The 13,310-nt window shown below is 44.6% G+C and overlaps 1 protein-coding gene across 20 annotated transcripts in view; it reads right to left on the minus strand.

Moving 5' to 3' along the window:
* Window positions 1–13,310, minus strand: part of SAP130 (Sin3A associated protein 130) — an 86,838-nt gene that overhangs the window by 23,424 nt on the left and 50,104 nt on the right. The gene's annotated exons all lie outside the window — the stretch shown is intronic.

A 13,310-nucleotide genomic window follows, 5' to 3' on the forward strand; every position in this document is an offset into this window, starting at 1 on the left:
AACAAAAAAAAATAAAGGAAACAATAAATATAAAAACAGAAACTAATAACTTAGAAAAGAGACTAACACTGGCTGGGCGTGGTGGCTCACGCCTGTAATGCCAACACTTTGAAGGCTGAGGCGGGTGGATCACCTGAGGCCAGAAGTTCGAGACCAGCCTGGCCAACATGGTGAAACCCCGTCTCTACTAAAAATTCAAAAATTAGCCAGGTTTGGTGGCACACACGCCTGTGATCCCAGCTACTCAGGAGACTGAGACACAAGAATCACTTGAACCCGGGAGGCGGAAGTTGCAGTGAGCCGAGAACGCGCCACTGCGCTCCAGCCTGGGTGACAGAATGAGACTCTGTCTCAAAAAAAAAAAAAACAGGCTGGGTGTGGTGGCTCATGCCTGTAATCCCAGCCCTTTGGGAGGCCAAGGTGGGCAGATCGCGAGGTCAGGAGATCAAGACCATCCTGGCCAACATGGTAAAACCCTGTCTCTACTAAAAATACAAATAAATTAGCTGGGCATGGTGGTGTGCACCTGTAGTCCCAGCTACTTGGGAGGCTGAGGCAGGAGAATCGCTTGAACCTGGGAGGCAGAGGTTGTGGTGAGCCGAGATTGCGCCACTGCACTCCAGCCTGGCAACAGAGCGAGACTCCGTCTCTAAACAAAACAAAACGAACAGAAAAACCCAGACTAACACTAACCCAAGTAGTCCCAGCTACTTTGGAGGCAGAACAGGGAGGATCACTCAAGCCTGGGAGGTCAAGGCTGCAGTGAGCCAAGCCAGGATTGTGCCACTGCACTCCAGCTTGAGTGACACAGTGAGATTCTGTCTCAAAAACAAAAAAAGTGAGGGGTGGAGGGCGGGGCAGGGAGTGGGCATGGTGGCTCACGCCTGTAATCCCAGCACTTTGGGAGGCTGAAGCGAGTGGATCATTTGAGATTAGGAGTTTGAGACCAGCCTAACCAATATGGGAAAACCCTGTCTCTACTAAAAATACAAAAATTAGCTGGGCATAGTGGCACACGCCTGTAATCTCAGCCACTCGGGAGGCTAAGGCATGAGAATTGCTTGAACCAGGGAGGTGAAGATTACAGTGAGCCGAGATCATGCCACTGCACTCCAGACTGGGCGACAGAGCGAGACTGTCTCAAAAAAGAGAGAGAGAGAAAAAGAAAAAGTGTAATTAACACAGGGAATTTAATATTATCTATTTCCCCTTATTATTATTTCGATTTATTATTATATCCTATTTATTTGTTGTCTGCTAGAACTGATGAGGCCTAAAAAACGTGAATTAAAGCCCTTTTGCTCCTAAGCTGCTCTTTGAAACTCTCCTCATACTTCTTGTAAATTCTGCTTTATGAGTCTTAATGCTACATTATTTGGTACACAGATATTCTTAACTGTTAAAACTTCCTTGTAGGCTAGGTGTGGTGGCTCACGTCTGTAACCACAGCACTTTGGGAGGCTGAGGCGGGCGGATCACAAGGTCAGGAGTTCAAGACCAGCCTGACCAACATGGTGAAACCCAGTCTCTACTAAAAATACAAAAAAATAAGCCAGGCATGGTGGCGTGCGCCTGTAATCCCAGCTACTCAGGAGGCTGAGGCAGGAGATTCTCACTTGAACCTGCGAGGTGGAGGTTGCAGTGAGCCGAGATCGTGCCATTGTACTCCAGCCTGGGGGACAGAGCGAGACTCCGTCTCAAAAAAATAAAAATAAATAAAACAAACAAACTTCATTGTAAATTAGATTCTTCAGCATTATAAAGGACCCTCTGTGGGCCGGGTGTGATGGCTCACACCTGTAATCCTAGCACTCTGGGAGGCCGAGGCGGGCAGATCATCTGAGGTCAGGAGTTCGAGACAAGCCTGGCCAACATGGTGAAACCCTGTCTCTACTAAAAATACAAAAATTAGCCGGATGTGGTGGCGCATGCTTGTAATCCCAGCTACTCAGGAGGCTGAGGCAGGAGAATCGCTTGAACCCAGGAGGCGGAGGCGGCAGTGAGCTGAGACTGCGCCACTGCACTCCAACCTGGGCAATAGGAGTGAAATTCCGTCTCATGAAAAGAAAGAAAAAGGACCCTCTGTGTTTTGCTTTTAAGCTGAATTCCACCTTTTCTGATAAGATTTCAATTTGTTTACCTTTGCTTGATAAATCTTTTGAAAAAATATTTGTGTAATTTGAGTCCTCAGATGACATTATCTTTTTTCACTGGTATTTTAAAACTGGTTACCATGGGATTACAATCAACATTCTAAATTCATATCAATCTAGTTTGCATTGATACCAACTTAACTTCAATAACATACAAAATGTGAAACGATGGAAAAAGATATTTCATGAAAACAGTAAGTAAAAGAAAGCTACGGGCCTATATCAATATCAGAGAAAATGGATGTTAAATCCAAAACAAGACAAAGGACATACTATATTAATAAAAGATTCATCAAGAAGATCAAAGAACTTGGAGAAATGAGCAGTTACTAATTAAAGGGCATAAAGTTTCAGTTAAGCAAAATGAAGAAGTTCTAGAGCTCTGTTGTGTGACACCGTGCCTACAATGAACAACAATGTACATTTTAACTTCTCCCTACCAGGGCAGAACTCATGTTAAGTGTTCATACCACAATAAAGAGAAAAAGAAACAGCAATTATAAACCTTCGCACATCAAAGAATAGTGCCCCATGTGACAGAATAAAGGAGATACTGACAGAATTAAAGGGAGAGACAGAGAGGATGACAAGAATAGCTGGAGATTTCTTTTCTTTTTTTGAGACGGAGTCTCGCTCTGTTGCCCAGGCTGGAGTGCAGTGGCGCAGTCTCAGCTCATGGCAAACTCTGCCTCCGGTTTTCAAGTAATTCTCTGCCTTAGCCTCCCGAGTAGCTGGGATTACAAGCATCCACCACCATGCGCAGCTAATTTTTGTATTTTTAGTAGAGACGGGTTTCACCATCTTGGCCAAGCTGGTCTTGAACTCCTGACCTTGTGATCCACCTGCCTTGGCCTCCCAAAGCACTGGGATTACAGGCGTGAGCCACTGTGCCCGGCCATAGCTGGAGATTTCAATAACCCCACTTTCAATAATGGATGAAACATCCAGACAGAATCTTGGCAAGGACACAGAGGACTGGAACACTAAACAAACTAGACCTAACAGATATATAGAATACTCCACCCAACAACAGTGATTGTACATTCTTCTCGAGGGCACATGGGACATTCTCCAGGATAGACCATATGTTAGGTCAAAATTCAAACTTCAAAAAATTCATAAAGTCTGAATCCAAACTAAAGATCTTTTCCAAGTACAATGGAAAGGACCTAAAAAATCAATGAGGGAAAATGGAAAAATTCACAATGACAGGTGAGACTTCTTCCCTGAGTCAGGTAACGGTTTTGAACATATGCAGAACACTTCCTTAAACTTTTGGCGTCTTCATAATGTAACAGCTATAGTAAAGCATTTTTTTTTTTTTTTTTAGGCAGAGTTTCACTCTTATTGCCCAAACTGGAGTGCAATGGCACCATCTTGGCTCACTGCAGCCTCTGCCTCCTAGGTTCAAGAGATTCTCCTGCCACAGCCTCCGGAGTAGCTGGGGATTACAGGCGGCCCCCACCATGTCCAGCTAATTTTTTGTATTTTTAGTAGAGACAGGGTTTCATCACGTTGGCCAGGCTGGTCTTGAACTCCTGGCCTTAGGTGATCTGTCCGCATCGGCCTCCCAAAGTGTTGAGATTACAGACGTGAGCCACCATGCCCGGAGTTGGTTTTTTTTTTTTTTTTTTTTTTTTAAAGACAGGGTCTTGGGAGGAGGAGGTTGCAGTGAGCAGAGATCGCACCACCGCACTCCAGCCTGGGTGACAAGAGCAAAACTCCGTCTCAAAAACAAAAAAAAGACAGGGTCTCACTCTGTTGCCCAGGCTGGAGTGCAGTGGTACGATCTTGGCTCACTGCAGAGATCTGCCTCCCAGGCTCAAGCAAATCTCCCACCTCCCGAGTAGCTGGGACAACAGGTGCACCACTACGCCTGGCTAATTTTTGTATTTTTAGTACAGACAGGGTTTCACCATGTTGGCCAGGCTAGTCTCAAACTCCTGACCTCAAGTAATCCACCCACCTCAGCCTCCCAAAGCGCTGGGATTAGTGAGGGCACTGTGCCCAGCCTGACAAGCACTTTCAAGTTCTGTATGACTAACGTTTTCTCCATTACTTTCTTACGTCTAGACCAGGCGTTGACAAACTATATCCCAGCCCAACATCAGTTTTGCAGATGAAATCTTTCAGTACAGCTACACCAGACATGAGGACTCATGACAGAGACTACGCGACTCACAAAACCTAAAATAACTTACTATTTATCTTTCCCCTTATTGAAAACGCTTACCAATCTCTGCTTAGATGATCAACAAAACAGTAAACAAAGTGCTATTGATAATTTCTGTGGAACAAGTGCTCCAACTGGGGCCAATTTCAAGCTGCCAATGCTAAATGACTCAGTGTGGAGTGGGGTGGAGGTTGGCGGGGGGAGAGGGAGACATGAAACAGCACACCATTCTACATAATTATTCCATGGGAAGAAGGATAAAATGTAGTTGAATAATTAGCAAGTACTGGGTATTTTAATTTAATTACGAGTTTTTACCCAGGATTATAGTTTTTTCAATGGCTGTGTCTAACACTCACCTCATAAAATTCCTGATAATGTATCAATCTACTCTTGTGAGTTAGCACAAGTCAAGTTCAGCATCCCTTTACTTAATGTTTCATTCTGACCTTCCTGAATCACTTTGTGTTTGGCCTGCCTCTGAATACAAGGCAGAGCAGAAGTGGGTTCTGCTTTGCAATGCAATCTGGAAACAGGTGAGTTAAGACCTGTATTAGATTGCTAGAGCTACCACAACAAATCATCACAAACTGTGTGGCTTAAACAGAAGTAGCTTGTCTCACAGTTCTGGAGGCCAGAAGTCTGAGATCAAAGAGTTGGCAGGGCTGGTTCTTTCTGCGGGCTTGAAGGACAGACTATTCCATGCCTCCTCTCCCAGCTTCTGGTGGCTTTGCTGGAAATCTTTGTTATTCCTCGGCGCCTTCCCGATCTCTGCCTTCATGTTCACATAATGTATTTGTCTGTGTCCTAATTTCCCCTTTTTCTAAGAATACTAGTCATGGGTCAGGTATGGTGGCTCATGCCTGTAATCCCAGCATTTTGGGAGGCCAAGGCAAGAGGATCACTTGAAGCCAGGAGGTTGAGACCAGCCTGTGCCATATAGCAAGACCTTGTCTCTACTAAAAAAATTTATTTAGGCCAGACGCAGTGGCTCACGCCTGTAATACCAGCACTCTGGGAGGCCGAGGTGGGCGGATCACGAGGTCAAGAGATCGAGACCATCCTGGCCAACATGGTGAAACCCTGTCTCTACTAAAAATACAAAAATTAGCTGGGCATGGTAGCTCGCACCTGTAGTTGCAGCTACTTGGGAGGCTGAGGCAGGAGAATCTCTTGAACCTGGGAGGCAGAGGTTGCAGTAAGCCGAGATTACCTCACTGCACTCCAGCCTGGGTGGGAGACTCCGTCTCAAAAAAAAAAAAAAAAAAATTTTAAATTAGCTGGGCATGGGCCAGGTACAGTGGCTCATGCCTGTAATCCCAGCACTTTGGGAGGCCGAGGCGGAGGGATCATGAGATCAGGAGATCAAGACCATCCTGGCCAACATGGTGAAACCCTGTCTCTACTAAAAATACAAAAATTAGCTGGGCATGGTGATGCGTGCCTGTAATCCCAGCTGCTCAGGAGGCTGAGGCAGGAGAATAACTTGAACCAGGGTGTTGGAGGTTGCAGTGAGCCGAGATCGTACCACTGCACTCCAGCCTGGCGACAGAGAGCAAGACTCTGTCTTAAAAAAAAAAAAAAAAAAAAAAAAATTAGCCGGGCATGGTGATGCATGCCTGGAGTCCCAGGTACTCGGAAGGCTAATGTGGAAGGACCACTTGAGCCTAGATCACACCGCTCACTGTACTCCAGCTTGGGTAACAGAGCAAGACACTGTCTCCAAACAAAACAAAACAAAACAAAAAAAAGACCAGTCATATTCAATTGAGGATTCACCCTACTCCAGTAGGGCTTCATCTTGACTAACCACATCTGCAATGACCCTATTTCCAAATAAGGCTGCATTCCGAGGTACTGGGAGTTGACTTTTGGGGGACACAACTCAACCCACAACAAAGTCACTGACATGACATGATATGACGCATGCTTGGTCTTACTTCTATCACGATATGCTCTGTATGGTTTTTCTTTTATCTTTCTCTCTTTTTTTTTTTTAGACAGGTTCTTATTCTGTCACTCAGGCTGCAGTGGAATGACATGAACACAACTCACTATAAACTCAACCTGCCAGGCTCAAGCAATCCTCCCACCTCAGCCTCCTGTGTAGCTGGGACTACAGGCCCATACCACCACACCTGGCCAATTTTTTTATTTTGTTTTTAGAGCTGGGGTTTCGCCATATTGCCCAGGCTGATATCGAACCCCCGGGCTCCCCCCATCTGTTGACCTCGGCCTCCTAAGGTGCTAGAATTATAGGCATGAACCACAACACACGACTATCTTTCTTTGTATTTTATCCACTTTTTCATTTCTTTTTTTTTTTTTTTTTGAGACGGAGTCTCGCTCTGTCACCCAGGCTGGAGTGCAGTGGTGCAATCTCGGCTCACTGCAAGCTCCACCTCCAGGGTTCACACCATTCTCCTGCCTCAGCCTCCCGAGTAGCTGGGACTACCGGCACCCGCCACCACGCCTGGCTAATTTTTTGTATGTTTTTAGTAGAGACGGGGTTTCACCGTGTTAGCCAGGATGGTCTCGATCTCCTGACCTCGTGATCTACCCGCCTTGGCCTCCCAAAGTGCTGGGATTACAGGCATGAGCCACCGTGCCCCGCCACCCACTTTCTCATTTCTATCTTCCACGGCCAATACTCTCTTGTGCAGTTTTAATTTTGCCTTCCTTCTGTGGTATCTTCATTAGTTCTCTACTGAGTCCTGTCAAGTCCTGTGTCATCACTTCATGTTTTGCCATTTACTCCAGGAGTCTTTTGTATTTGAACTTTGTGTTTTTCTTCATAGAGGTGGTTATTTTGTTATGTTATTTAAATTCATGGTGGCATGTTTCATTATAAATTTCATCTGTCCCCTGTCAACATCTTTTGGTCAGTGTCTTAAGGAACAGATTAATATACTTTGTTGTTCTTTTCCTATGTTTTAATTTTAATTATCTTCATATTAATCCTTTTTTGTTACTCATCAGTGAATGGAGTTGGCTATTTCTAAAACAGCCATTTATATGAGATTACTTTTACTTGGGTGTGGGAGTGTGGGGGGTTTATTCTTCCAGCTAGTTATTTCTTCACAATCCAAATGCTCTCTTCTTTCAGGTGCCACAGATTGACTACTGCAAATAAAGCCAGTCTGAGTGCCTGTGTGGGCCCTACCTCCACAACTTCTCTGAAGCACAGCAAATCCAAGAAAGAGTCTAAAAAAGAGACCCTGCTCACCCTATTTCTGCACCTGCTGTTGCTCACAGGGAGACTTTGGTACCTCATGGCAGGTTCTTCACCTTCAGGACCAACACTTGAAAACTAAGTCCATATGAGACTTTGTTTTGAAAAAGACAAAAACAGAAACAGACCAGGTGCAGTGGCTCATGCCTGTAATCCCAATATTTTGGGAGGCCAAAGTGGGAAGATCAGTTGAGGCCAGGAGTTCAAGACCAGCCTGGGCTACACAGTGAGACTGCCATCTCTACAAAAACAATATGAAAATCAGCTTAGCAGGCTGGGCGTGGTGGCTCACCCCTGTAATCCCAGCACTTTGGGAGGCAAAGGTGGGCAGATCATTTGAGGTCAGGAGTTCGAGACCAGCCTGGCCAACATGGTGAAACTCCGTCTCTACTAAAAACACAAAAATTAGCCAGGTGTGATGGTGGGTGCCTTTAATCCCAGTTACTTGGGAGGCTGAGGCAGGAGAATCACCTGAGCCTGGGAGGCAGAGGCTGTTGTGAGCCAATATGGTGCCAGTGCACTCCAGCCTGGGCAACAGAGTGAGATTCTGTCTAAAAAAAAAGTAAATTAAAAAAATAAAAATAGCTGGGCATAATGATGACTACCTGCAGTCCCAGCTACTCAGGAGGCTAAGGTGGGAGGATCCTTGCACCCAGGAGTTCAAGGCTGCAGTGAGCTATGATCACGCCACTGCACTCCAGCCGGGGTGACTGGGCAAGACCCTGTCTCTAAAAATAAAACAAAAATAAGCAAACAAAAACCCGAAGTGTTCATTAGCTGAAGACTAACTGTGGCACCAACACACCTCAGAACATCACACAGTATAGGGAAACAGTCACTTTTTCTGGTTTTTCATTTTCCTGACCTCTAAAGATGCTATGTCCTCAAGCCTGGTCCTTGCACCACTTCTGTTCTATTTATACTACCTTCCACTCTCATGGCTCTAAAGAACATCTACCTGCTTACAATTCCCAAATCTCTATCACCAGCACGGACTTCTACTTCAATTCTAGAGCTGTATTACTTCAGAATTTTTTTGTTGTTGTGAGATGAACTTTCGCTCTTGTTGCCCAGGCTGGAGTGCAATGGCGTGATCTCTGCTCACTGCAACCTCTGCCTCCTGGGTTCAAGAGATTCTCCTGCTTCAGCCTCCCAAGTAGCTGGGATTACAGGCATGCGCCACCACGCTCGGCTAATTTTGTATTTTTAGTAGAGAGGGGGTTTCTCCATGTTGGTCAGGCCGATCTCAAACTCCTGACCTCGGGTGATCCGCCCGCCTGACTCCCAAAGTCCGAGGGAGTGCTGGGATTCCAGGCGTGAGCCCCTGTGCCCGGCTTCCTTCAGAATTTTCTATCTGTCTATTTGACATCTCCACTTGGGTATCCAATCATCTAGATATTGCAAAAGTAAAACGACTGAAACTAACCTGATTTTTTTCCTGCTATTCTCATAGCTTTCCTCATTTTAGAATGCTCAGGTAAAATTTGGGAGCTATCCTTGACTCCTCTCTTTCTCTCCATTCCATCAGAAAATTTTGTCAGCTGTACCTTCAAATCATATCAAGAATCCAAACACTTTTAAGACATATGGGCAGGGTGCGGTGCTCATGTCTGTAATCCCAGCACTTTGTGAGGCTGAGGTGGGAATACTGCTTGAGCCCAGGAGTTCCAGACCAGCCTGGGCAACATGGTGAAACCCCGTTTCGACAAAAAAATACAAAAATGAGCTGGGTATGGTGGCTCTTAAGTAGTCCTAACTACTCAGGAGGTTAAGGTTGCAGTGAGCTGAGATTGCACCACTACACTCCAGCCTGGGTGACAGAGTGAGACCCTATTTCATTAAAACAAACAAACAAACAGACAAACAAAAAACACTACCTCCATGCAGGTTCAAGCCATGAAGATAGTTAACGATTTTATCAGCTCTCACCTGGTCTTCCTGCTTCCACCCTTGCTCTGCTGCAGTTTATTCTCAGCACAGTAGCCAGAGTGATTCTTTTAAAATAAGTCAGATCATGTCACTCCTATGCCTTAACCCTCCAATGGCTCTCCGTCTTAGAATAAAATCCAAAGGCTTCTGAATAGCCCACAAGGCCCTAAATAATCTAGCTCTCAATGTCATCTCTAAGCCATCTTGTACAACTCTCACCTCTGGTTCCAGGCTAGTCTTCCTTGCTGGTCCTGTGATATTATTCCTAATATACAGGGAGTCCTCACTGAGCACGAAGCTCACACATGTAAATATCAGATATAGTCATGCAGCACATAAGGATTTTCAATGAACAAAGGACCATACACATGACAGTGGTCCCATAAGATTATAATTTCTGGCCGGGCGCGGTGGTGCACGCCTGTAATCCCAGCACTTGGGGAGGCCGAGGTGGGTGGATCACCTGAGGTCGGGAGTTCAAGATCAGCCTGACCAACATGGAGAAACCCTGTCTCTACTAAAAATACAAAATCAGCCAGGCATGGTGGTGCATGCCTGTAATCCCAGCTACTCGGGAGGCTGAGGCAGGAGAATCGGTTGAACATGGGAGGCAGAGGTTGTGGGGAGCCGAGATTGAGCTACTGCACTCTAGCCTGGGCAGCAAGAGTGAAACTCTGTCTCAAAAATAAATAAAGATTATAATTTCTATGTTTAGATACACAAATATGTACCACTGTGTTACCACTGCCTATAGTATTCAGTACAGTAAAGTCCTGTACAGATTTTTAGCCTAGGAGCAATAGGTTGTACCACATAGTCTAGGTATGCAGTAGGCCATCCCATATAGGTTTGTACAAGGACACTCATGATGTTCATACAACAATGAAATTGCCTAGGGATGTATCTCTCAGAACGTATCCCCATTGTTATGTGGCTAGCTCTATGGTCCCCAAATCACCATGTAACTAACAGATGCCCATCATGATCAGTAACCAGTCACATCACTTCTTAAGTCTGGTAATGATCAATCACTGACCATAAACAGTTCTGCATAAACAGTTCATAAAGAAAACAAAGCATGTAGTTGTGTTGCTCTGGCATCCTAGTGATAAACCAATGTGAAATTTTAAGAAAATGGAAGACTGAATGTGAGAATGGGTCAACCAAGATGAAAATGCAACAAAAGACCAAAAAGGGATAAGGCCAGAAGTGAAATTGTATGTGATTTGAAGATTTCAAAATGGCCCAGCAAAAAGAAAAAAGGATAAGACCTAGACTTGTAAAAAGCTGTATGGACCATATTGAAAAAGTCTAGTGAATATAAAAAGGAAGGTAAAGTAGCTTTAATATAATCTTTCAGTTTAAACTGCATCAGGAAAGCCACCTATGGCAGAAATAGTTTATTTCTATTTTGGATTGACAATAGTAATAACCAAAAAAAATTACAATTATTCAAGGCTGAAGCGTTGAAGTTAGCTGTCACACTGAAAGAAAATGGTAATTAGGAAAATGAATTACTGCTAGTGAAGGCTGGTTTTAGCATTTCAGAAGTCAGTATGACTATGAGTGGTGTTGAGTGAATCAGCTAACTGCCATCACACAGAAAGATGGTACTATAAAGTGTGTACCCAGAGTCCGAGGAGAAGTGAAGGCAAAGTGGTTTTGAGGAAAAAGATGAAGGGGTCTCAGAAGTTACGCCGGCAAAAACCTTCACATTTAATGAAGTCTTGGAGATGTTCCACGACACTGTCACCCAGGCTGGAGTGCAGTGGTGCGATCTTGGCTCACTGCAAGCTCCGCCTCCTGGGTTCACGCCATTCTCCTGCCTCAGCCTCCTGAGTAGCTGGGACTACAGGCACCCGCCACCATGCCCGGCTAATTTTTTGTGTGTTTTTAGTAGAGACAGGGTTTCACCATGTTAGCCAGGATGGTCTCTATCTCCTGACCTTGTGATCTGCCCGCCTCGGCCTCCCAAAGTTCTGGGATTACAGGTGTGAGCCACTGCGCCCGGCTGGTCATTTTTATGTTACTGCACTAATGTGCAAACTGACAACTGCAAGTATCCTTATATCAAAGCCTTGGTTCCTCTTTCCTCTGCCTGACACATTCCAGCATCAAGGAGCACATGGCTTATTCCTTCATACTCTTCTCAGAGAAGCCTTTTTCTGTAAATCATCACCTCTTCCTCCCATTACTTTTTATTCCCTTTACTCTGTCTCCCTTTCTTCTTATATTTATTATTTCTTCACATCCACTAGAAAGTAAACTGAAAGGGAATGGACACATTACATCTATTTTTGTGACTGCTCTATAGCCCCACATCCTAAAATAATACCAGGCACAAACAAGGCATTCACAATTTTTTTTTCTCAAATGCGGTTTTATGAAGAAGTAAATCTAAATATACTAACATGGCAAACTATTACTGATATAAGTAAAAGTGCGAGACATAAAACAATATAATCAGTAAGATCTCTTTTAAGAATCTATCAACTGGGGCCGGGCACGGTGGCTCACGCCTGTAATCCCAACACTTTGGGAGGCCAAGGCGGGCGGTTCACGAGGTCAAGTGATAGAGACCATCCTGGCCAACATGGTGAAACTCCGTCTCTACTAAAAATACAAAAATTAGCTGGGTGTGGTAGCACGCTCCTGTAGTCCCAGATACTCAGGAGGCTGAGGCAGGAGAATTACTTGAACCTGGGAGGCGGAGGTTGCAGTGAGGGCCACTGCACTCCAGCCTGGTGACAGAGCAAGACTCTGTCTCAAAACAAACGAACAAACAAAAAGAATCTATCAATCTATCTACATGTGTATGCAGAAAAAGACGTGGAAAGATACTTATCAGAACTATTATCTTGATCATAGAGGAAGTCTACAGGAAAAAACAAACAAACAAAACCCCAAAACTGTTACCAGTCAACATTATTCTAGGAAGTGGGATTGGCAATGTGGGTAGAGAATGAGACAATAATTTTCACTTTATACTTTAAGTATTTTTATATAATCTAATTACTTTTTCCAGTATAATATTACTTGTGGAATTAAGAAGAGAAAGAACAAATACTGTCATAAGGCCCGGCATGGTGGTTCATGCATATAATCCCAGCACTTTGGGAGGCTGAGGCACGTGGATCAATTGAGGTCAGGAGTTTGAGACCAGCCTGGCCGACATGGCGAAATCCTGACTCTACTTAAAATACAAAAAAAAAAAAAAAAAAGCCAGGTGTGGTGGCACATGCCTGTAATCCCAGCTACTCCGGTGGCCGAGGCAGGAGAATTGCTTGAACATGGGAGGCCGAAGTTGCAGTGAGCCGAGATAGTGCCACTGCACTCCAGCCTGGGCAACAGAGCAAAACTCTGTCTCAAAAACAGAAAAAACAAAAATAAATACTGTCACGATGTCATTTTTGAATGCCATAGCAACTGGGTGTTTGCTATAAGGCACATACAAAGTGTTTTAAAAGTATCATTTTGTTTAAATACACAAAAATTCTATGAGGTAGATGTTATAGGAATGCGCAATGCCCACTTTATAAATGAGGCAAATGGGAATCAGAGAGGTTGAAAAATGCGTTCAGGTCATGCAGCTAGAAAGTGCATATAAGTTGGGAGTGGTGGCACACGTCTATAGTCCCAGCTACTCAAGAGGCTGAGGCTGATCACTTGAGCCCAGGAGTTCAAGGCTGTCGTGTGTTACAATTTTCTATGATGGCGGCTGAGAATAGCCACTGCACTCCAGCCTGGGCTATATAACCTAACAAGACTATGTCATGCAGGAATATTAGACTCTCCCCAACTGCAACGATGTGTGGGTAAAAGC

This window comes from Homo sapiens, chromosome 2 (assembly GCF_000001405.40).
Source record: "Homo sapiens chromosome 2, GRCh38.p14 Primary Assembly".
Lineage (NCBI taxonomy): Eukaryota > Metazoa > Chordata > Mammalia > Primates > Hominidae > Homo > Homo sapiens.